The sequence below is a fragment of the Homo sapiens genome, chromosome 2 (assembly GCF_000001405.40).
Source record: "Homo sapiens chromosome 2, GRCh38.p14 Primary Assembly".
In the NCBI taxonomy this organism is placed as follows: domain Eukaryota; kingdom Metazoa; phylum Chordata; class Mammalia; order Primates; family Hominidae; genus Homo; species Homo sapiens.
The window spans coordinates 206,472,366-206,499,094 of record NC_000002.12 but is presented as its reverse complement, the minus strand read 5'-3'; the positions used below and the strand labels follow the sequence as shown (position 1 = coordinate 206,499,094).

Here is a 26,729-nt window from a genome sequence, read left to right as displayed (position 1 = left end):
GGAATCATCACACTGACTTCCACAATGGTTGAACTAGTTTACAGTCCCACCAACAGTGTAAAAGTGTTCCTATTTCTCCACATCCTCTCCAGCACCTGTTGTTTCCTGACTTTTTAATGATCGCCATTCTAACTGGTGTGAGATGGTATCTCATTGCGGTTCTGATTTGCATTTCTCTGATGGCCAGTGATGATGAGCATTTTTCATGTTTTTTTGGCTGCATAAATATCTTCTTTTGAGAAATGTCTGTTCATATCCTTCACCCACTTTTTGATGGGGTTGTTTTTTTCTTGTAAATTTGTTTGAGTTCATTGTAGATTCTGGATATTAGCCCTTTGTCAGATGAGTAGGTTGCAAAAATTTTCTCCCATTCTGTAGGCTGCCTGTTCACTCTGATGGTAGTTTCTTTTGCTGTGCAAAAGCTCTTTAGTTTAATTAGATCCCATTTGTCAATTTTGGCTTTTGTTGCCATTGCTTTTGGTATTTTAGACATGAAGTCCTTGCCCATGCCTCTGTCCTGAATGGTATTGCCTAGGTTTTCTTGTAGGGTTTTTATGGTTTTAGGTCTAACATGTAAGTCTTTAATCCATCTTGAATTAATTTTTGTATAAGGTGTAAGGAAGGGATCCAGTTTCAGCTTTCTACATATGGGTAGCCAGTTTTCCCAGCACCATTTATTAAATAGGGAATCCTTTCCCCATTTCTTCTTTTTGTCAGGTTTGTCAAAGATCAGATAGTTGTAGATATGCGGCATTATTTCTGAGGGCTCTGTTCTGTTCCATTGGTCTACATCTCTGTTTTGGTACCAGTAACATGCTGTTTTGGTTACTGTAGCCTTGTAGTATAGTTTGAAGTCAAGTAGCTCGATGCCTCCAGCTTTGTTCTTTTGGCTTAGGATTGACTTGGCAATGCGGGCTCTTTTTTGGTTCCATATAAACTTTAAAGTAGTTTTTTCCAATTCTGTGAAGAAAGTCATTGGTAGCTTGATGGGGATGGCATTGAATCTATAAATTACCTTGGGCAGTATGGCCATTTTCACGATATTGATTCTTCCTACCCATGAGCATGGAGTGTTCTTCCATTTGTTTGTATCCCCTTTTATTTCATTGAGCAGTGGATTGTAGTTCTTGAAGAGCTCCTTCACATCCCTTGTAAGTTGGATTCCTAGGTATTTTATTCTCTTTGAAGCAATTGTGAATGGGAGTTCACTCATGATTTGGCTCTCTGTTTGTCTGTTATTGGTGTATAAGAATGCTTGTGATTTTTGCACATTGATTTTGTATCTTGAGACTTTGCTGAAGTTGCTTATCAGCTTAAGGAGATTTTGGGCTGAGATGATGGGGTTTTCTAGATACACAATCATGTCATCTGCAAACAGGGACAACTTGACTTCCTCTATTCCTAATTGAATGCCCTTTATTCCCTTCTCCTGCCTGACTGCCCTGGTCAGAACTTCCCACACTATGTTGAATAGGAGTGGTGAGAGAGGGCATCCCTGTCTTGTGCCAGTTTTCAAAGGGAATGCTTCCAGTTTTTGTCCATTCAGTATGATATTGGCTGTGGGTTTGTCATAGATAGCTCTTATTATTTTGAGATATGTCCCATCGATACCTAATTTATTGAGAATTTTTAGCATGAAGGGTTGTTGAATTTTTTCAAAGGCCTTTTCTGCATCTATTGAGATAATCATGTGGTTTTTGTCTTTGGTTCTGTTTATATGCTGGATTACATTTATTGATTTTCGTATGTTGAACCAGCCTTGCATCCCATGGATGAAGCCCACTTGATCATGGTGGATAAGCTTTTTGATGTGTTGCTGGATTCGGTTTGCCAGTATTTTACTGAGGATTTTTGCATCAATGTTCATCAAGGATATTGGTCTAAAATTCTCTTTTTTCGTTGTGTCTCTGCCAGGCTTTGGTATCAGGATGATGCTGGCCTCATAAAATGAGTTAGGGAGGATTCCCTCATTTTCTATTGATTGGAATAGTTTCAGAAGGAATGGTACCAGCTCCTCCTTGTACCTTTGGTAGAATTCGGCTATGAATCCATCTGGTCCTGGACTTTTTTTGGTTGGTAAGCTATTAATTATTGCCTCAATTTCAGAGCCCGTTATTGGTCTATTCAGAGATTCAACTTCTTCCTGGTTTAGTCTTGGGAGAGTGTATGTGTCGAGGAATTTATCCATTTCTTCTAGATTTTCTAGTTTATTTGCGTAGAGGTGTTTATAGTATTCTCTGATGGTAGTTTGTATTTCTGTGGGATCGGTGGTGATATCCCCTTTGTCATTTTTTATTGTGTCTATTTGATTCTTCTCTCTTTTCTTCTTTATTAGTCTTGCTAGCAGTCTATCAATTTTGTTGATCTGTTCAAAAAACCAGCTCCTGGATTCATTGATTTTTTGAAGGGTTTTTTGTGTCTCTATTTCCTTCAGTTGTGCTCTGATCTTAGTTATTTCTTGCCTTCTGCTAGCTTTTGAGTGTGTATGCTCTTGCTTCTCTACTTCTTTTGATTGTGATGTTAGGGTGTCAATTTTAGATCTTTCCTGCTTTCTCTTGTGGGCATTTAGTGCTATAAATTTCCCTCTACACACTGCTTTGAATGTGTCCCAGAGATTCTGGTTTTTTGTGTCTTTGTTCTCGTTGGTTTCAAAGAACATCTTTATTTCTGCCTTCATTTCGTTATGTACCCAGTAGTTATTCAGGAGCAGGTTGTTCAGTTTCCATGTAGTTGAGCGGTTTTGAGTGAGTTTCTTAATCCTGAGTTCTAGTTTGATTGCACTGTGGTCTGAGAGACAGTCTGTTATAATTTCTGTTCTTTTATATTTGCTGAGGAGTGTTTTACTTCCAACTATGTGGTCAATTTTGGAATAGGTGTGGTGTGGTGCTGAAAAGAATGTATATTCTGTTGATTTGGGGTGTAGAGTTCTGTAGATGTCTATTAGGTCTGCTTGGTGCAGAGCTGAGTTCAATTCCTGGATATCCTTGTTAACTTTCTATCTCATTGATCTGTCTAATATTGACAGTGGGGTGTTTAAGTCTCCCATTATTATTGTGTGGGAGTCTAAGTCTCTTTGTAGGTCACTAAGGACTTGCTTTATGAATCTGGGTGCTCCTGTATTGGGTGCATATATATTTAGGATAGTTAGTTCTTCTTGTTGAATTGATCCCTTTACCATTACATAATGGCCTTCTTTGTCTCTTTTGATCTTTGTTGGTTTAAAGTCTGTTTAATCCGAGACTAGGATTGCAACCCCTGCCTTTTTTTGTTTTCCATTGGCTTGGTAGATCTTCCTCCATCCCTTTATTTTGAGCCTATGTGTGTCTCTGCACATGAGATGGGTTTCCTGAACATAGCACACTGATGGGTCTTGACTCTTTACCCAATTTGCCAGTCTGTGCCTTTTAATTGGAGCATTTAGCCCATTTATATTTAAGGTTAGTATTGTTATGTGTGAATTTGATCCTGTCATTATGATGTTAGCTGGTTATTTTGCTCATTAGTTGATGCAGTTTCTTCCTAGCCTTGATGGTCTTTACAATTTGGCATGTTTTTGCAGTGGCTGGTACCGGTTGTTCCTTTCCATGTTTAGTGCTTCCTTCAGGAGCTCTTTTAGGGCAGGCCTGGTGGTGACGAAATCTCTCAGCATTTGCTTGTCTGTAAAGGATTTTATTTCTCCTTCACTTATGAAGCTTAGTTTGGCTGGATATGAAATTCTGGGTTGAAAATTCTTTTCTTTAAGAATGTTGAATATTGGCCCCCACTCTCTTCTGGCTTGTAGAGTTTCTGCCGAGAGATCAGCTGTTAGTCTGATGGGCTTCCCTTTGTGGGTAACCTGACCTTTCTCTCTGGCTGCCCTTAACATTTTTTCCTTCATTTCAACTTTGGTGAAATCTGACAATTATGTGTCTTGGAGTTGCTCTTCTCGAGGAGTATCTTTGTGGCGTTCTCTATTTTTCCTGAATTTGAATGTTGGCCTGCCTTGCTAGATTGGGGAAGTTCTCCTGGATAATATCCTGCAGAGTGTTTTCCAACTTGGTTCCATTCTCCCCGTCACTTTCAGGTACACCAATTAGACGTAGATTTGGTCTTTTCACATAGTCCCATATTTCTTGGAGGCTTTGTTCGTTTCTTTTTATTCTTTTTTTATCTAAACTTCTCTTCACGCTTCATTTCATTCATTTTGTCTTCCATCGCTGATACCCTTTCTTCCAGTTGATAGCATTGGTTACTGAGGCTTGTGCATTCGTCACATAGTTCTCGTGCCATGGTTTTCACATGTACATTTTTAACCTCAGCTAAAATATCAGTAGTACTCATTTTTGCAGCTTATAAAACTTCTGGCTGTTAAAGCTGTGTCAGGTTGAGATACTAGTGGGAAAAAAGATGCAAAATAGCTAAGCTGTATCAACAATCCATCACTTCCATTTATCCAGTAAACATTTGATATCAACCACTGAATGGCCAGCTAAAATAAATGGATGCTCAAAAAGTTATTGTCCCTCACCACACCCAAAAGTACTGAACTACTCACCCTCAAATTAGTCATCCTTCAAAACAGCTCAACCATCTCCTCCTCTGTATAGCTTTCCCTGATCCCACCCTAAACTGTGGGCTCCTTAAACGAACTGCATCTTATTCTTGTTTCCCTATGAGCTGGCATAGTGCACAGGGAGGGCAAATGCTAGCAATCATATAAAGAAACCCTTTACCACTGAACAGCTTTAAAGAGCAAACATTTTTTTAGGGTCAAGTATTAGCTCAGTCCTTAATGAATAAATATGAACAGTAATAAGGGAGAGCCTCAGACACTAGTAAGTTTCTAAGAATCCCTTGGTTGGTCAAAGGGTTTCAGTTTCCATTTTGCAGAATCAGTAAGTTCAGTGGATGTAATGTGCAGTATGGTGACTATAATTAATTATACTGTATTGTATAATTGAAATTTGCAAAAGGAGATCTTACATAGTCTCAGCACAAAAACAGAAAAAAGATAACCATCTGAGGTGATGGATATGTTAATTAGCTTGAGCGTGGTGATCATTTCACAATGTATACAAAAATTAAAACATCACCTTGTATACCTTAAATATGCATAATTTTTATCTGTCCATTATCTTCAATAAAGATGAGAGGGGGACATTCAAGAAAAACAAGAAATCCTGGAGATTTACAAGAGATATAATCTATTCTTATGCTGTGAGATCCTTCTGGTCACATGTAGTTTAGTCTGATTTATTGGATGTGTGAACTCACTTGGGCAAAAAAGAAAGGAGGAAGAAATGAAATGTGCTCTCTACAATGTATTAGAGATTTCCACCTTCTTATTTGAAAGATATTCCTGTAAAATGGAAAAATATATTTGTAATTATATTAAAGGACGTGAAACTTTTTGTAGAAATTGTTTCATTTAAAAAGCCAATATAGGCTAGGTGTGGTGGCTCACGCCTGTAATCCCAGCACTTGGGAGGCCGAGGCAGGTGGATCACCTGAGGTCGGGAGTTCGAGACCAGCCTGGCCAACATGGCAAAACACTGTCTCTACTAAAAATACAAAAATTAGCTGGGCGTGGTGGCGGATGCCTGTAATCCCAGCTACCTGGGAGGCTGAGGTAGGAGAATTGCTTGAACCTGGGAGGTAGAGGTTGCAGTGAGCCGAGATCGCGCCACTGCACTCCAGCCTGGGTGACAAGAGCGAAACTCCGTCTCAAAAAAATAAATAAATAAAAAGCCAGTATAGATTATTTTGTTTTTAAACACAATCTAAATATTATATTAAGGCTCATGGATATCATCATGGAAGAAGCATTAGAACAAACTTGTTAAAGAGAGTACTTTTATAAATAGCCCATAATAAACCATAGTTAGGATTCTTATTTGGGGATTCTAATTTATAATTAATTTTAAAAGATTAGGAGAAATGACTCTAGATGATGAGATTCTAGTGTATGAATCATCCAAAAAATGGTTCTAAAACAACACAATTCTCACTGGCAACAGATGACCATCAAGAGTCTTAATGAGCCAGTTCATGTGATGTCAAGCCCTTACTTTATATAAATCTATGGAGAACCAAGAGGAAAATTTAATAAGTTATTGTTTGGGACTAGATTTATGCAATGAATAGTAGTATTCAAAATAAAGCAAGGTTAAGACACAAATGATATAAAGTTTTTTATTTCTCTAAGGTTCACATTTGTAGAGCTTTTCAAACACATTTTTAGTCAGACTTCTTTATCACTGAAAACGTCTGCTATGGTTTGAATGTATAGGTCCCTCCAAAATTCATGTGGAAATTTAAACCCCACCTATGAAGAGGTGGGGTCTTTTCAGGGTGATTAGGCCATGAGAGCTTTGCCTTTATCAATGAGATTAATGAGATTAATGAGATGATCAATGAGATTAATGCCCTTACAATAAAGGCTTTGGGAGAATTGCCTGGCCCTTCCATATGGCTCTTCTGCCACGTGAGGACACAGCAACAAGGCACAATCTTGCAAGCAGAGATCCCTCACCAGATATCAAGGCTTGGTCTTGGATTTCCCAGCCTCCAGAACCATCAGAAGTAAATTTCTATTGTATAAACAATATATAAATATTGCCCAGTCCATGGCATTTTGTTATAGCAGCACAAACGAATTAGATAATGTCTCAACTCTCCAAGGCTTTGACAATGGGCATTCCTAGGTCTGTTCTTGGCTGTTACTTACTAGCTGTGTGGTTCTGTTCACCTCTCAAAGCCTCCATTTTCTCTCACTCCATGTCCCAAGTTTCTTGCTTACCTTCAGGCCTCCACACTCTCTCCCCCTTCAAGCCTTTTCTGACCACCTCTTAAACATGCTTTAGGCCTGAGTTGAGACATTTAGCTCCATAAACATTTACCTTGTTATCCATTTCTACCTCTAATCTGGGTTAGGTACCCCTCCTATGTGGGATAAAAACATCCTGTACTTTCCCCATCACAGTACTTCTCAGATTGTCATTAAATGCCTACAGATTTGTCTTTCCTCCTCCATTGTTCTATAAGCTTCATGAGGGAAGGACTTCTCCAGGCAAACTTTGACAGTGCCTGGCACTTAGCAGGCACTCAATAAACATTTGTGAAATAAAAGTGCTCGGAATCATTCATGAATGGCTTCTGTCAATGGAAATCTATCCATCAACTCAGGTTAGAAAGAACTTTATACACTTGGCTAACACAGAGGGTCAATATGAGAAACCCATTTAAGAAAAATAATGGTTGCACACATTAACCATTATGCTATTGAATGCCCTACTACATCAGGCGTCAAGGGATAATTCCTCTTTGACAAGGAAACATTTATATCTCTAGAGAGATAAAATTCTTGTATCAGATAATGAAAATTACACAACCCACTAAAAGGTAAGATCTCATTTCAGTAACTACTGTAATAAACTTATCTCAGATGCTTGGTCACATCTAATTCTCTGTGCTTTTCAATTTTTTGTCACAATTAACTTCTGCTGGAATTTTTATACATTATTTGTCTTTGTCTTCAAAAGACCAAGAAGTGCTCTGAAAAAATGAGTCAAGTTCAGATTTTATTTGCCCACATTCTGCATTGGGGTGGATACCCGCAAAGGGTCTCCTTTTATCCACCAGTCAAGAAATAGTCTCCTGACTCACTAGAGATGTCTTTTATATCCTAGGTAAGATAAACAGTGTAATATGATCCCATCAACAATTAAATTCTTTTGATTTTGCTACAAATTCTTAGTTGCCATACTTTTTATTCTCCTGCTAAAGACTGTAGCCACAGGGTCCTCTTTTCTGGGCAATCCCAGTTTTCTCATCTCCCAGAACCTAGAAAATCTAAATCTGGCTCCTGTGGCCCTCCTCATTTCTCTAGCCTGGTGCTTAATCTCCCTGGGTCCCAGTCACTCACAATAATTATTGTTAATAGGCAAGCAGGGGTAGGGGCAGGCAGAGGGCAAACATCCATTGAATTTCACCACCCAAGAGTTATGCTGGATTTTGTTCATCTATGAAAATCAAGAATCAGTATATAAGTATCAATGGTTTGGTTGTGATTTTATTTTTAATAATCTTGTTATGTTTAATTGTGCAAGTCATTCTCAAACCATTTTGAAAGTAGGTTGCATAGACACCCTAAGTAAATAGAACCAGAATCTACTAAAATTTAGACAATATTTCTTTTATTGTATATGTTTTCAAGATTTTCTGGACCTGATCTACCAGCATAAAGATGAGTCATCAAAAGCAAATGATAATACCCAAGGCATTCAATATGGGTTGACTCAGACCAGAAATGTCTGATCACCCTGATCAGAGAAAATATGGCAACAAAAAGAGTTACCTGGCACTCTAGAATTAAAAAGTTTAGAAGCAGACAGGAAAGGGTGGCTTCAGGAGAGAAAAATCCATAGCAACTCATTCCTACCAGCACTAGAAAGCTTAGAATACTATCAGGCCTCTAGGACATATACAATGCAATATTTGACTACATCATATTGCACACAGCACAGTGGCAATCAATATTTACAGCAACTTTGGGGATACCTGCCTCTTAAGATTCTTTATCATCACACACTTTTTCAAAACTACCAAAACAGTTCCAATCATCCTAAAGTACCTAAATGCAAAAGAAACCACAATTTCTCAAAACAGCACTTGAAAATCATAGTATAAGGGACAAACAGTTTTACCCATTAACAAGCAGCACTTAATGCTGAATGTCTCACTGCAATAGGTGAGCAATAAGTGAATTAGAACGGTGTATTAGTTTGCTAAGGATGCCACAAAGTACCACAGACTGGTAGTTTAACCAACAGAAATGTATTTCCTCACAGTTCGGAAGGCTAGAAGTCCAAGATCAAGGTGTCAGCAGGGCTGGTTTTATTCACAGGGCTCTCTCCTTGGCTTGCAGACAGCCGCCGTCCATCTCACTGTGTCTTCACATGGTCTTTCCTCCAACACACTAGTGTCTGTGTCCAAACTTTCTCTTTTCATGACAATAGTAATATTAAATTAAGGGCCACCCAAAAGATTTCATTTTAACTTAATTACCTTTTTAAAGACTTCATTCCAAATATAGTTACATTCTTAGGTACTAGGGGTTAGAACTTCAACGTACGAATGCAGAGTGGGAGACACACAGAGCATAACAGATGGTTCTACTCAACAAACAGCATTATTTTCAATCCTATTTGGGACCTTCCGTGTTTTCCTCATATAGTTACAAATTGACCAAAATAATTCCACTCTTTTTCTCACTTAATGTGAACAGATATGCAATCATCAGAATTAGGTTCAGCTCACTTGCAAATTGGTAGTCCAGTGCTGTGACCACAGCAGCCACGGTGAAGGAGACTCCAAGCAGACAGCCCATGCTGGAGTCCCTGCATGTGACTGAATCTCGCCAGCCCGCATGTTACTCAGCAGTAAAATGGGGATAATCACATCTTCCTCACAGGGTTATCAAAGGAACTTAAATAGGAGACTATGGGTACACATAGGGCTTGGCACAGTGTCTATCACCATAATAGAAAGCCTTCCTTCTGCAGATCTCTTGAAACTGGGAAGTAAAGCATTTAACCTTCGAGTTAGCAGCATCATAAACCCCGAGACTCCTGAAATGGAAAGCAATGTTCACATAGTCTCCTCTAATTCCTTCGGACTAAGGCCCAGAGTGTGTGACCAGCTCTCTGAAGCAGAGGTGAAATTGGAAGTCTTGACTCCAAATTCCTAAGGCCAGTGCCTTCCCTGATTCCCTCTCTCAGATGTGTAAGAGAAATGACAGCAGTGAGCATGATGGGCTGCTAGTTGGAGAGAAAAAGGCCAGCAATGACACAAAAGGCCTGCCAATCTGGATTCAGGAATCACAAAAATTTAGAAACCAAGACGTAAGACAGCAACACCACAGCTCAGGCTGGTATAGGTCAAGGTGCCTCAAGCTGTCCCCAGCCACAGCTCCTGACTCCTGTCCTGGTCTTACTCGACCACAAGAGAAAAATGAGGCAGGAGGCCTGTTTCTTCTCCACATGTTCCTTCTTACAACCATATTTAAGTTCAATCTCCAAATCCGCAGAGCTGAAAAAAACATTTAGCCAAATAAAGCTGAATATCCCCCTTAGGATCCAGGGACTCCCACCAGGCAGTTTGCCTTCTGTTTGCAGCTTGGTAATTCAGGTTCTTTAAGAGAGGGGGCCTCACCAGTCCTGACTCACCCCAGGAGTTTGGTGCTTTTGGGCTTCCACACCTCTGCCTGCCACTTCCTGTGGAGTCTGCGTCTTTCTCCTTCCCACACCTTTCAAAGTCTAAAGCACCTGCTATGGGCTCCACTGGGCCCTGCCACTATGCCCTTGGCATTCACTTCCACACACTGAAGGCAGCTGACTGGAACTGCCTGAGACCCTGGGCCTGAGGGCTTTGTACTCTACCCAGGAGGAGGTAGTAAAGTGTTACTGCCCCAAGAAACAGACTTCAGCCAACAACAGCCTGGCAGTTAGTGGACAAAACTCTAGCTCCCTGCCTCTAGGTGGGATAACTCTCTGGCATGAGTCCACAGACTCCCAGAGCTCTCAGTGAGAATCCCAGCTGCCCAGAGGAGTAAACAGCTTGAGAACTCACCCTTTCCTAGCTCCTCCCTCCTTGTCTCAGGGTCTGCTACCAGGGGACCCAAAACCAAGGCAGCCTCCTGTAGGAGTCCCATGGAATCCCACCTTCCCCAGAAAACCTTCCCTCATCACCAAGATCTCTCAAGTCACTTTCTATCATGTTTTAACACTATTCGTGTACACTGTAATCTCATTTCTCTACCACAGGCTCTTGAAGACGAGAAATTCTTTCATACAGCTCTGAATTCCCCCGTGTTGCTCAGCACAGTGTCTTACGCAAACGAGAAGCTCAATAAATGTTTGTTGACTGAATGAAGAATGAATTAACCATGTCAGTCAGCAAGAAGGTTGGGCTCTGTATTTAAGCTAACTGAAACTATATCAGTGTAGCTGTCTGCTTCTTTCCAAAACACAGCGTGAACTGCTTTTAACGAGCAAAGTACTGCCTGCATGTATTTCTTTAAATCAGCATTTTCTAGATATTCATCTTAAATCAAACACCTCTGATTCCCAGAAAATCAGAATAAAGATTGTTTTCCTAAATCCGAAACTACCTTACTCTCCAAGTTTTGGGTCTACTCCTCAGTTTTTGGAGTCAGCCACCCAATGTGGATGTCTTACACTGATTTCACCCGGAGTTCTCCCTGGGCATCATTCAAGATGAATGTACAAAGACATGTCACATCACCACACTCTCTCGCTGGAGTAGCGTTCTATTAAGAAGGAACATAATGCTGCCTTTTTAACCAAGAAGGCATTACCCTTGATGCATCCTAAGAATTCTTTCCTCTCTGCATCGGGCAGGGGCTAAAAGAAGCACAGGGATTTCACTTCACAATAAACAGGACAGCATGCTGAGGACCTGGGTGTTCACCTCGGACCAGTCAGATGGCCTGGAAACTTAAATACCCACATATACGCAATAGCCTGCAAGTCGTGTCATGTTCTTTAATGGATGTCTGGTGAGCAGCTCTGGGAAAACTGGACAAGTACCAAGTGTCTCGCGAGCATGCTTTCAACTCAATGGAAGTATGTTATCTGAATTCCCAGTGCTCACTACCTTGAGCACCTATCAACCCAGGGCCTACCAAATTGTCTCCATTTTTTTTTCTTCAGCCGACTTTGAAGAGAGAAAAGATTACATAGTGGACCCCTCCCTTCTCACTTACTAAAGTCAGAAAAAGACTGACTGAAGCCAAAGGGAAGACAAGCAGCATTTCTTATGACCTGAGCTGCTCTCACCAGATCATAAGTTCCATGAGATCAATGCCTCTTCTCCTCAATGTAGAATCCCCCAACATCTCAGCGCAGTGACTGCCTCACGGAGGTAATAATAATTCATTGTCAACAAACACGTGCAAGCACCACATGTTATCTCATCTAATCCTTGCAACAACCTACAGCTTCGGAAGGAAACTAAAGCTTAAGAAGCTTAGAATATATCCAAATAATGGTATATTACTCAGCTACAACATGGATGAACCTCAAAACATTATGCTAAGTAAAAGAGGTCAGTCACAAAAGGCTGCATATCGTATGAAATGTCCAGGACGCGAATGCATGGAGACAGAATGTAGATTAGCGGTCACCAGGGGCCTAAGGAAGAAGGGAATGGGGAGTGACTGCTAATGGGTACAGGGTTTCTTGGGGATGATGAAAACGTTCTAGAATTAGATTGTGGTGATAACTGCAAAATTTTGTGAATGTAATTTTAAAACACTGAATGGTAAACTTTAGAAAAGTGAGTTTTATGATAGGTGATGACGGTCGTGGTGGAGGTGGTAGAAGAGAAGGAGGAGGAGGAGGAAAAGGAGAAAGAGGAGGAAGAGGAAAAATGAAGAAAAGGAAGAAGTTAAGAAGCTTGCCCAAGATCAAAGAGTTACCCATGCTTTCAACCATTGTGCCACTCTAATCATGGTTATTCTCAGTAAACATTTGCTGAAAACACCAGCAAATATAATTATGGGTAATATAGGCTTTGGCATAATTCTGATCACACACAGAGAAGAGACAATCAATCCTCAGACCTTCTGAGACTTCCAAGGACTGATAAACATTAAGAATTGTTGCTCTAACATCAATCATACCTCAATAAAGTGGATAATAAAAATCAAAATAAAAAATATCTAAAATGCTTGTTTGACACTAAAAAAAAAAAAGGAAAGACAAGAAACGTTACCCTAGTGATCTTTTCAAAATCTTCTGTAACCTGGAATAACGGCTATTTTAGAGGAAACACTAAACAAAATTTTAAAAGAGGAGCACCCTGAGAGGAGTGTAATTAAAGGACCTCTAAGGCCATAACTAAGACCTTTGGGGCTAAATAAAATAGAAATCTGACCATGTCTCTTCCATGCTTACTGCCATCCAATGGCTTCAGACCCACACTCCTCACCATGGACCACAGTCCTTCATCGCCTGACTGCACAGCTGCTTCCTCTCTGATCTCGTCTCCTCGTTCTCCCACTATCCCCTGCCCTGCACTGCATAATGGCCTCTGCCCTTCTTGAACATCCCACATCCTCCTTAGCTCTGGCTGTCTTGCTGTCCCAGCTGTGCAGAACCCTCAGCCTTCCAGCAACGTGTTGTGGCTCCTCTTTGACAACCAGGGCTCAGCTCAGGTTCCCTCCTCAGATAGGCCTTCTTGCTTCTTCTGACCATCTAAATCATGCTGGACACCCCACCTCCAGTCCCTCTCCATCCTATATGTCTTTATGTGGTGGCCCACTGTTTGCCTCCTCCTCTGGAATGAAGCTCTAAAAGGGAAGGCACAAGTCTTGTCTATCTTATTCTCAGCAACATCAGCACCTATAACAGCCAGAGGCACATAGCAGATGCTCACTCAACATTTGCTGAACAAATGAATAAAACACACAGCACTGCCATGAGATGCCTCCACAAGCCAGATGCAAACCAGGCTCTCCTCTCAGGAACTCCTGTCAGGTTAGTCCTCACAAGCTGGGCTTCTGGGCCTGGTGAGGTCACCAACTCTGAAGATTCTATGGTCACCACCTGGATTAACTTATGGTAACACCTTTATGTGCTCATTCCTCCACACCCTGAGCCCACATACTTACCAGACACCTTTCCCTCCTTTGATAACTTAACACCTCTGTCTGTAATGTAGCAATGATCATCCTATAGTGGAAATGAGGTCCCTCTTTCCTCAGAAGCTCTTTTGGGTCCTCTATTACTGACTTAAACATTCTCCTGACTCTCTACCTTTATTCTAACACATATCAAACTTTTTGGTTAATCCCAGACAGAAGTAATCTAAACTAGAGCCCACCCCCAGCAACACATCTCATGTTCTAACACAGTTCCCTCATTTCCAGTTCATCATGCCAGCCTTGCACACTCAGGTTGCACTCAGAAAGCTCAGGACAGCATGGGGGATGTATTACATTAGTCCATTCTCATGCTGCTCATAAAGACATACCTGAGACTAGGTAATTTATAAAGAAAAAAAGCTTTAATGGACTCATAGTTCCATATGGCTGGGGATGCCTTATAATTATGGCAGAAGGTGAAGGAGGAGCAAAGGCATGTCTTACATGGCGGCAGGCAAGAGAGCATGTGCAGGGTAACTGACCTTCATAAAACCATCAGATCTCGTGAGACTTATTCATTATCACAAGAACAGCAGGGGAAAAACCCGCCCCCATGATTCAGTTACCTCCCACTGGGGCCCTCCCATGACACATGGGGATTATGAAAGCTACAATTCAAAGTAAGATTTGGGTAGGGACACAGCCAAACCATATCAAGGGAGATAGCACTTGAGTGCAGCTCTCATGGCCTCTCTCTCACTGCAGTTAGTTTTCCCTTCAGAGACCTCCATTTGTCCCCAGTTCATAGCCTCCTCTTGACCTCATCTCCCTTCTAACCCAGACTGGATCCTGATACTTAACTATGCAAGTTATTCATGAGTATTCAAAGAGCTTTGCCTACACTGTTCTTATTCTGTGCTACCACAGAGATTGAGCCCTGGGTCCACACTACAGTCTGCCTCCTTCATTCACACTCTGCAGTGACAAAGCACTCCAATTTTTAAAAATAATACAAATAAAATATAAAAAACAACACCAGAAAGAAATACACAAAGACTAACACATAGCACATGATTTCTAATGAAGGTTGCTCAAAAATTCTTGCATTTGACCTTGATGGGCTTCCTCACTCATTCTTCCCAGCAATTTTGTCATTTTCCTCAAGCCCCAACCCAACCTCCCTCTCCATCCCAACCCCTACAGTAGATAACTTCAGAAATGTGTTTCTTCAACTCCATCCCCTCACCTGCAAGTCAATCTCCATCTGCACACACCCTACAGCTTCACACCAGTGCAGGACAACCTGTCTTTACCGGTTCAAAACTAAGTTCTGCCCTTGGGCTTTGATCTCATTCCCTTCAGTCTCTACCCAGCTCTTGCCCTATAGATATCTCCTCTCTCCTTTCTGCATCTTCAACCTCCCACTCTTATCAGCTCCGTCTCTCAGTCCACCAAACTTGCTCTGTTAACTTGCTCTGCCAACTTGCTCTGTCATCATTAAAAAGCCCTGCCTTGATCCCAATGTCTTCTGCTCTCTTTTCTTCTCATCCAAACCTCCTCAATGGATATTTGCTGCCTCCACATCATCTCCTCTCATTCACTCCCAGCCTACTGTAACCCGGTTTCTGTCCCCTCTCATTTCCTCCACCCCAGAGTTTCATTGAAACTGCTGCTTTCCAACCACCGGTGACTGCTCAAATGGCAAATCCAAAGGGCAAATTTTGCCTCTTACCTCATTAGATTATTCCACAGCATGTGCCAGTAGATGGCTCTACTGCAGATGACACTGTAAATCACACCTTCCCATTTTGAAACTCTGTTTAATCATTCTCCTGATTGTCCTATTTCTCCAATCACTCCTTCTCAATTTCCTTCATGGGTGCCTCCTCTTCTCCCCTCCTCTTACCTGTCTTCTCAGCTTCTGTCTCCTTACTCTACCTACCCTCCCTCGGTAACCTCATTCACAGCCATGTTGGTCATTAACATTTATATAAAAATACCTACCAAGTCTACTATCTCTAGCTCCCATCTCTCCCCTGAGGTTATATCCAGCTACCTCCTAGACATGGCCACATGTATGTCCCAAAGCCCCTCAAATCTATCATGTCTCTTCTGATGCCACATTCTCTTCCCTTCACCATTTAACCTGTTTGTTCCCTGGTACTGCCCATTTCAGCTAGACATCACCCTCAAACCAACCAACCAATCGAGGTACCTCTGTTGGCTTTAACTATCCTCTCTGCCTTGTTATCCACATGGAGCAATCCTAATAATTTTTATCAACTGCAGATTTATTGAAAGTATTCCCTCTCCACGCCTCTTAGCACTTCCTGAGAACAGGACCTCTGTTTATTCCCCTGACTTGATTTTTCAGTCTAGGGGATAATGGCCCAGCACTGACACGTGAAATACCAGAACTTCCATGAGCTGAGCTGTCCCTAGGCTTACCTCTCCCAACTCATCTTCCTCGTCTCAATCTTGTCATTTATGAGGAAGGTCAACAAAAGGCTCATGCTCCTCTAACATGCCACACTGCAACGTGGCCTTGCCTCTTCAGATATACTATCTCACATGCCTAGAACACACTTCAAGATTTAGCTCAAGCATCACCTTTCCCAAGACGCCTTTTCACACTCCTCCAGCCTGAGAGCTGCCACTCCTTGGTGCTACCATAACATTCCATTTTAACCTCCAGCATATTTCATACTCTTCTAAAATTACGTACTTGTCTATCAACCTTCCCCCAAGTAGACTCTAAATTCCTCAAGTCAGGGACTGCTCATAATAGGTGCTCAACCTGATTCCTTTGCATGCTAAATGTTACTGATAACTTCTGGCACATTTCCAGACCTCTAAGTACCCTGGCCATCCCATATGACCCTTTCTCTGCCATGTACTAATTGACTGGGAGGCTCTGCTATGGCTGAGATATTTTATTGCTCAAAACACACAGCAGGGTTGGTTGCGATCATCTCGCTACAGTTTGAAATGATGGTCTCCACCGCAGTAAGAGTTAAAGGAATTGAGGACTTACACTAAAATTAGCTCTATCTTGCCACTCAACATAGTGTAAGATTTGGCAAGACAAGTCCCTTAGGCAGACAAACTGCTGACACAGCATGGTGAAACGGAACTCAACCAAAGAGGAAAACCTGCAATACCTTTACATAGGCAATTCTGAGTTCTGCTGATTCATTCTGACTTAAAGCTGCAATAACACTTGGTAAGGAACACCCAAGCTGACTTTGCATTTTTTTCTGCAGAGCTCACAGAATTTGGCATACAAAAAATTTAATAGTTGTTCTTTATAATTCTTTGCAATTTCTCAAATATTGGTTGTGGTCACTTACATTATAGTGTTTGATAGCATTAACAGGTATTTTTCTTGCAAAGATGCAGTCCTGATCAAAATACTGACAAAAGCTTAAAATACTGACTATAATTTCTGTAACTCAAGAAAACCACATAGAAAATCTCTTTCACCAAAGAAAGGCTCACTGCTAGATCTATTTGAGGCTGAAGAGCCTTAGTTAAGTCAACAGCTCTTGTTCACACTTTGTACAAAGACATCTGTACAACTGATTTGAACTTAGGAAACAGCATTTAAATATCAACAAACACATGCTCAGAGACAATCGGGTAAATTTTCATCAGGACCAAAATTTCTAAGAAACCATATTAGAGCAAATTATAAAGCAAAGAATCTTCTCAAAATAGGTATTTGCAAGTCATCACTTACTCTGTTCTTCCCACAGAAGTCATGCGAATTGCATTATAAAGAGTAAATGGAAGAAATTTCTAGACTGTAGTCAAATTATACTTGAATCAGTAAATTTATCATGCTTCTTATATATAGTGATGATTATAATTAACATTTAATTAACTGGATTACTTCAAATATTTATTCCATTTAAAATTATAATATGTAAGTGCTGGGTTTGAGATGCTTAACATGTTAAATATCTTTTATTTCGGAAAAAAATATATAATTCACCATTCAGAATTTTATACTTTACATGCTCTATAATAATCTGCTAGAAAATAGTTGTTAAACAACAGACATTATTTTGACTAAACCGATATTATAAAAACAAAGCTTTATTGCACCTGCTTCTTAAGAAGATTATGTCTAAATACTCACTTGTTCAGTATGAGGTCAAGAATGAATTTGGAGCCGAAGGCTTCAATCTGGAAGCTTGCCTGGGCCAGATGGACAGCCTATGGATTCAAAAAGACAGAAGAACCTTAACTTACTTTCCTGTCTTTAAGACAGATTATTATCAAGAATGATATTTAAGACGAATAACTTTTATGTATCAGTTCATTTCCTTATGTATCATCATATAGCAATTCATTTCTTTAGGAGACTAGATACAATATCATGGTTTTGCTAGGAAAATCTAAATATTTGGGTAGCAAAGAGCTAATAAGACAACACATCCTTGAAAATGAACCCACTAAGATAAAAACCAACAGCATATTCTGCTGGACTTACAAAGTGACCGTGACGAATTATGCAAAAGTCTGACTAATTAAAGCTTGATTTCAGCCCGTTTTGTGCATAAAGCTAAACAACTCTTTCTGCACACCTAAGTGAAAAATCATGTCAGTGCTCTGCTCTTCAGCAGGAATTAGAACTTTCTTGGAACGTTCTCTAAATGATGTATCAGCAGAATATGACAGTAAAATGGGAGAGTACAACCTTGTAACTTCAGAAAGCACTTAGAACCTGGCCTTTTGTGAATACTGAGAGCTTATGTCCCCCTTTAAGAGTCATATGTTTATAAATATTGTCATTATTTTGTCTTAATTCAAACTACAAAGATAATTCCATCTAAACATGAATCCTATTTACTAGATGTTAAAGATTATTATAGCTCACAGAAGCATCTTGAATATTGCAAATTAACAAATCAATAAAGTTTTGTCAAAGTATTAGCTAACATAAAACTCTCCTTTGTCACACTATCAGGAAAAAAAAAAAAAAAGAACAAGGCTAAATGAAACACCTACACTGTACTTCCTTGACTCACTAACGTCCTTCCTCCAGAATTGCATTCCTAAGGCACAGTGGGTGCTGCAAATCATCTGTGAAGTGCTTCATGCATGGTAACTGGACACCAGCATGAACACACCAGGCATCTCCCTCCCAGTACTTTCTATTCCCTCCTTCCCCCCAATACTACCCCATGCTCCTCTTTGCCTTCCCTGTATTTATGATGATTGAAACTCTCCCCATCCTTCAAAGGCGTCCCACCTGCAATGCTTTTCATGAAGTCTTTCTTCACACAGTCTTCACGTTCAGGGCTTTGGAAGCACTTTATTTGTGCTTCCCTGTCTCTCCCTTTCCCATCCCTCCCCTGGGTGGTAAGCTCCACAACATATATCACAGGGGTCTTGCAAACAGGTCTAGATTAATGACTCTTCCCCAGCATATCTGACCTTCCAAGTAATTCACCAAATATTCATTGTCAAGATCTTTTTGCCATACCAAACCCATAAAACACTATAAATAAACCATGACTTATACTTTCAGTCAAGCACACTGCCAAATCAGATAGTCACTCAATAATAATCCATAAAATGTAAAAAGGAAATTAACAAATATTAAATTTTAAATACAGAACAATGAGAAACAAGGCTCCTAAATCCTTAATGCCATAGGACACCAAGTCAAATTCCAAACAACCTTCTAGAACAGGGTCACCATACTTGTGGGCTTCCTGTATCCATACAACTATGAGTGAGAGAGAGAGAGAAAGAGAGAGAGAGAGAGAAACTTCTGTCAAGTGTGGTCTCTGTTATCCACAACAGAACCTCTATTCAATACAAATATCCACTAGTCTTCAAATTCATTCTGTACCTTGAAGCATTAATTTTTGCATAAAGATATTTATATTGATGAATAATTTGTACAAGGAGAGATTTTTCAGCTCTAGATCAAAAAAGCTTTAAGTATGTAAAATTTACTTCCTAAGAATAAGATAAATCCTTAAGTATAGTTTCTCTTAAGAATATTATACAGTAGAGATGAGTTCATTAGTGGCACCCTGGTCTAAAAGAGCTGATAAATATACCTCCTTGAACATCTTTATAAACACTAAGAAGAACTTGACAGAGACTCAGTAAAAGGCTTATTTTATAGCAAATAAGTGATGTGACAAGTACAAACACTGACAACACTCTTGCAAAATAAGGTAATCTGGTGGTAAATGTAGTACCTTCATTTTACAGAATTGTAGGAGTTACACAATTTGATAATTGCTAGAATAGGTTTATACCAAGTCAATGTGACTAGCTTCAGTTTAATAGAATTTAATCAAAGAGCTAGTAAATCATACTGGGTTTTCCTTTTGCTTTTGCATTCAATCATTCCACACAAACATATTAAGTCCTGCTTTGCATATAAAGATAGCTGGGACACAGCTTCCGCCCTCTAAGAAGTGATGGTCTCCAGAGGGGCAGGTACAACTGTCAGCCTCAGCTTGTCTAATGGGCCACAGGGACCATGGCTGAACCCCATCCAGGCACAGAGAGGTGCAGAAAGGATCCACTGACAAGGTGCTATTTGAACAACAACTCAAAAGATGAATAAGAATCCACGTGTCAGAGAAAGAAAAGACACTCAAGGCATGGAGGAAAACATTTATAAAAATCGAGTCAAAATGAATGTGAGAAAAATAAGCTTTTTAAATTTTTTAAAAAATGAATATGGCCTGTAGGAAAATGGTTTTCAGATGAAATGTCAAACAATGAATCTGAAAAGGTGGGATGGAGACTGGCAGGCTTCACGTGACATGATCAGTGACATTTATGATCGCAAACAAGAACATGTGGCCAAGACAATGAGCCTTCTCCTAAATGGCCACTCCCTCAAACTCACTCAGCACCATTTCTGGCACACGCCATCATCATCATCATCATCATCATCATCATCATCATATCATTATGATTCAAACATCTTAACAGATTACTCTCCAGAACTGAAGCAATTTATCATGCCAGCAACAAGATATCTGTTTATCCATAGGAAAAAAAAAACCTGATTTTATTACCTTTATCAGTAAGAATGTTTTAATATTTTAATTCTAAGAGGAAGCACATTTTCTATAAAATGATTTAAGATTTCCTCACCATATTCATCTTCTTTGTCAATGTATCAAATGGAATTAGTTTCATCTAATACATTTATATCCATTTTAAGTCATTTAAATATATTGATGTATGTTATTTTGCTTACATTCTGTTTCTCTTTCCATTGCTATACATTCTGCAAGTGCTTAGACAGTACAGATTCTTCTCTATACCAAAATAAATACCTGACAAGTGCTACTTTTCCCTATCATTTTATTTCTGCCCTGTCTTAGACACAATTAAAATAGTGTTTAACTTCTGGATGCTATGCAGTCCATTTCAATTTGTCACTTTTTCTTTAACAAAATATTACACAGTTTTTATATATGCCCATTTTAAATGTTTTCAAATCATGTAAAGTGAGTCATTATTTTATAAACCACATTGTTGTTTTATATATATATATATATATATATATTTTTTTTTTTTTTTTTTAACAGAATATTGGCTTGCTTCTTCCAAATGGTAGAAAAGTTAGAAGAATGGCTGGGATGAGTACAAAGTCTTACAATATACAGCCATATCATTTTTAGTTGATTTAACAGATTTTAGAGATAATGAACTGACCAGCATCACTGAAATCCATTAAAAATACAAAGACTACCTACAGTATTGTTCTTCTTTTACAAAGGAACTATACAGTGAGGTTTAGAAATGTGTTCAGTAATACAAAATCAGATCCTAGGAATGCTTCAGAGAAGAGTTCATGAACCACATATTAGGTCATAATCAGTTATTTTCTCTTTCGGGATATCTGTTAAACAGCCTTGCTTTTATAAGGACATTCACTATAATAGCACTGGGGAAGAATGCAGGGTTTTATAGCCAAAGAACATCATTTCACAACAAGAATGAGCATGTCCCTGGGCTCAGAATTACCACCCTGAAGGACTGAGAACAGCTGCTGCCTAACCACTTTAGTATTTTTCTTTTAACTCAGAATCTGGCACAGGGAAATTACAGGAGCTCTGAAAAGAAAAACAATTAAACTCAATTATATACACAAACCTCCTTCACTGGAGAACAGTTTACACGTCTTAGCAATGTGCTTTTGTTTTTATTTTTTCTTTCTAGTGGATGGCATCTAATGGTATATTAAATAACTTTAAGAAAGCTATTGGGTTCTTCGGCTAAGACTTGTTTCTCACCTTATCATCAAGCAATGTTATGACATTAAGCAATCATACATGCTCAACTCTGTGTAGGGTACATTAAATAGGCTCAATAGATACTATTGTGTTTTCTTGGGACTTATATTCTAGAATAGCTAATATAGACATAAAAACAAGAAGAAAAATAACTCTATATCTAATCATAAAAATAAAAGGCAGCCATTTGCAGGATATACATGTTTTCATGCAACTATGTTTCACACATAATAGGTGTTCAAACAGTATTCTTCACTACTTGGCAAGAATTTGTGAGTTCTGTAGAGCGTACCCATAACTGGAACTGAAAATGGGAAATAACATTTTCCCAGAATTCAAAAAATATCATAAGGCTGAATTTCTACTAAATTGTAAAATTTAGTAGAAATTGAGCAACTTGGGTAACTGAGTGCCTACACTATGGATCATCACATCTTCTGAGACATATATTTCACCTTAGTATGCTCTAAACCAGTGGTCCCCAACCTTTTTGGCACCAGGGTCCAGTTTCACGGAAGATAATTTTTCCACGGATGGGGTGGAGTGGGGGATGGTTTCAGGATGAAACTGTTCCACTTCAGATCATCAGGCATTAGATTCTCATAAGGAGTATGCAACCTAGATCCATCGCACGTGCAGTTCACAATAGGGGTCATGCTCCTATGAGACTCTAATGCCACTGCTGATCTGACAGGAGGTGGAACTCAGGCAGTAATGCTCACTCACCCACCACTCACCTCCTACTGTGTGGCCCAGTTCCTAACCGGCCACAGCCTGATATCAATGTGACCTGGAAGTTGGGGACCCCTGCTCTAAACTATAGGTGGTGTGAGAAACATAACAGAATTTGGAAGTGGTTTCCTGATCTTAAGATATATTCAGTTTATTTAGGGAGATATTCATTTAAGTAATGAACGAAACATGCCCAAAGTGGAATATCAATAGACAAGAAAATGTTTTACAAACAGAGGTAAGAAGCCCTTTAGGGTATCAAGCAGGCCTAAGCAAACACCAGTGGAATGATTCACATTCAACTTCGTAAAGAAGAGGGCTACAGGTCTCGGCTTCAGGAAAGAGGGCATTAGAGACCGCAAAAGTCAGTAAGCAGATGCCTGTCTTCTCTGTTTATTCTAACATAGAAAAAACAATGTTTATTCTATGTCTGTTAAAACACTGAATACAGCAGCTACACTGTATACATGTGACAGGTGTGTGAGTGTGTGTGTGTAACCATAACCTTTTCAGGAAGTATTTTATTTCCTTTATCTTGTTGCATACGGTTCTTTTCCTTACCTTTACAGTTTTTCAATAGACCCTTCAAGAGTTTCCACTCCATTATCTTCAAATATGGTGGAGAAAGGTCATAGAATATAAAACATCACCTTTTTTTGAGATTCAGGACATTTTATAATGTTTCAGAGAAGGCAGATTTGAAAATTCACCAACTAACAAGATGGGAGGAGGAAAATTCGCTAATTTGATGCTAGAGGGACCCTGCCTTTGTCATCATGGGTTGAGCTGCTGAGAACAAGAGTCCACTTCACCAGGAAGACTTTCATCAGCGTGGCTGTTTGGTATGTTTTTCTTTTCATACGAAAACAGTAGGCACAGAATCCAGCATCCCAGATAATTAAATATCAATGAGAATAAAATGTCAACTTTAAATTGAAATAAGTTTGAGGAAAAGAAGTCACTTCTTTTCAATCACAGAGGTTTTTCTAAAGAGGACTAGTTTGGACCTATCCTGTAGCTAGAGAAACATGAAAGTCCAGCTTGTGAATCTTTTTCTGTATAATGCAAAAATCCAAATATGTAAATATATCTTAAAAGTTTTGAAGTCCAAAAGAAAATATCAACAGACCATTTTTAATTGTAATTTTGTTCTAATCCCTCATTCTAAATTGATACACTGGTGATTGCACAGGTTTGTGTTATGATAAAAATAATAATGCCTCACATTTCTTACATTTTAATCATCTCAAAGTACTGTCATGTCTATCTAGAACACAGCACCCCATGCAATTGGTACAGCAGACATTTTTATTACCCTTTTATAGAAAAGAAACTTTTTTAAAGGGCAGAGAGAGATTAACTAATGTTATTGTCCAAGGTCATAGATCAAAGGAAGAAACATGAGGTGTTAGTTTTAGTTAAATGACAAAAAAGTGCCATACTTATGCCAGAAGTCCTTACATCTGCAAGCCTCAATGTTTTCCGGTCAATAAAATACAAATAATAATAGCTTAACAACATGATGTGTGCGAGGATTAAATAATACAATAATGCAACTGACGGCCAGGCGCAGTGGCTCATGCCTGTAATCCCAACACTTTGAGAGGCTAAGGCAGGAGGATCGCTTGAAGCCAGGAGTTCAAGACCAGGCTGGGCAACATGGTGAAACCCTGCCTCTATGAAAAATACAAAAATTAGCCAGGCATGGTGGTGCATGCCTCTAGTCCCAGCTACTCAGGAGGCTGGGGCAGGAGAATCACCTGAGCCCAGGTGTTTGAGGCTGCAGTTAGCCAAGATCATGCCACTGCACTCAGTCTGGGTGACAGAATGAGACCCATTCTCAAAGAAAATAGCAATAATAATAATGTGACCAATGTAGCTCAGCCACAGTGAAAAAGCTCAGTCATTTAGGAAGGAGACAGTAAAGTAGGAAAAAGAGAAAAAAGAATACAGTAACATTTTGGAAGGGTATCAATCAACCCCACCCTAAAGTTCCCTCCCAGGATAGTTAGCCACCATCTAGCAAATTCCAATGTGCATTTACACTCAGCAAAATTTGCAAATTTTGTATTTTTATTGCTAATTACCATTATGTATTATGCTTTGACCTTGTTCAAGTTGTCATGTCTTCAAAATAATATGAATCATTTTCCACAGAAGTGAAACAGCTGCAAATGCTACATGAAGGCGGTTCTGCAAATTAGGGTAATTTGCTGAACATTCTTGCCATGATGCATTTAAACAGGTAGTTTGAAGGAGAAAAATATTATCATGTTTTCTTCTACCATGTTCCAATTGATAGTATTATGGGCTAACCAGCAACAATTTGTATTAAATACCTACCTTATGTAAGATACTAGAGCAGATTAGTATAGGAGAGTTAGTTTTGTTTTTCTGGTTTTTTTTTTTTGTTTTTTTTTTTTTGAGACAGGGTCTCACTCTGTTGCCCAAGTTGGTGTGGAGTGGTGCAATCACAACTCACTGCAGCCTTGACCTCCTAGCTGAAGCAATCCTCCCACCTCAGCCTCCCAAATAGCTGGGACCACAGGTACATGCCACTGCTCTCAGCTAATATTTTTATTTATTTTTTCATAGAGATGGGGTCGCACCATGCTGTCCAGGCTGGTCACAAACTCCTAGGCTCAACAATTCACCCGCCTTGATCTCCCAAAAAGTGCTGGGATTATAGGTGTGAGCTACCATGCCTGGCCGAGAATTAACACTTAGATCAAAAAGATTATAATATGGTTAAGGAAATCAAATGAGTAACTGAAAAGAGTGAAAAATATAATATGTCAATTAAATAAGAATCGTTATTGTTGTTGTTGTTGTTGTTATTATTATTATTATTATTATTATTATTTTAGAGATGGGTCTCACTGTGTTGCCCCAGCTGGTCTTGAACTCCTGGCCTCCTCAAGCAATCCTCCCATCTTAGCCACCCAAAATGCTGAGATTACAGGTGTGAGCCACTACCCCTGGCATAAATATTATTTGTAAAGATACCACACACAATATAAGCATGATTAATTACCAAATTTGGAGTAAGGGCAACAAGCGCATTTGAATTTGTGGAGTGAGTCTGCTGGGGGCTGGAGAGAGCTGAGAATGGCTTATGAGGAAGACTTTCTCCGCATTTAAAGAAAGAATTCAGACAGCTCTTCTAGGATTTATTTAATAGAATGAAATTATAAAGTGTTAATAAGTATTTGCTAACAAATAAATGCTTAAGAAACATGCTTTTAAAGTAAAACACAAGATGCCTTCCATTCTGGAGTGTTATACTGCAATGTGGATTGTGGTGTGAGTTAAACATGACAGTTTATCATAAAATAAAGCATTTTACAAGAATGACAAGTAGGGGGGAAACATACATGCCCGAAAAATGCCCGAAAACATACATGCCCGAAAATGTTAATCAATCTATCTTTTGGCCTTAAATTAGGAAGCTTAAGTCATACCGTTTGAAGGCTATTACAGAAACAAGACCAAAGCATCAACAAAGCACACTCTTCTCACAACCCACGATGAACATCTCCTACTTAAAGGAAGCAGATCACCGTGTGACTTTGTTCTCTGTGCCAACCTAGCCGAAAAAGATGGAACTTCTACTCTAAAAGAAATCTAGCCAATATTCGATTATGCGATCTGATGGTACAGAAAAAAGGAAAGCTTGGATTTATGGATTTGTCAATTTTAACTTCTGACCAAATCTTATACAAGAGCTCTTTTCTAAATAAATCAATTTTAAAGAGATTCCAAATTCATCTTCCTCTCTTTTCTTATGTACCTCAGTTTGAGGTACTCTTTTTTTTTTTTTCCCCTGAGATGGAGTCTCGCTTTGTCATCCAGGCTGGAGCACAGTGACATGATCTCAGCACCACAACCTCCGCCTCCTGGGTTCAAGCAATTCTCGTGCCTCAGCCTCCCAAGTAGCTGGGACTACAGGTGTGCGCCAATACACCCAGCTAATTTTTGTTTTTTTTTTAGTAAAGACAGGGTTTCACCATATTGGCCAGGCTAGTCTTGAACTCCTGACCTCAAGTGATCCACCCACCTCGGCCTCCCAA

At 39.5% G+C, this 26,729-nt stretch overlaps 1 protein-coding gene across 3 annotated transcripts in view; it reads right to left on the bottom strand.

Moving 5' to 3' along the window:
- The window catches only part of ADAM23 (ADAM metallopeptidase domain 23), a 177,596-nt gene that overhangs the window by 122,033 nt on the left and 28,834 nt on the right, over positions 1-26,729 (bottom strand). For all 3 annotated transcript variants that reach the window (NM_001410985.1, NM_003812.4, XM_005246932.4), the window contains exon 3: positions 17,787-17,863. In NM_001410985.1, coding sequence (NP_001397914.1) covers positions 17,787-17,863 — 77 coding nt within the window. The remainder of the gene's footprint in view (positions 1-17,786; positions 17,864-26,729) is intronic.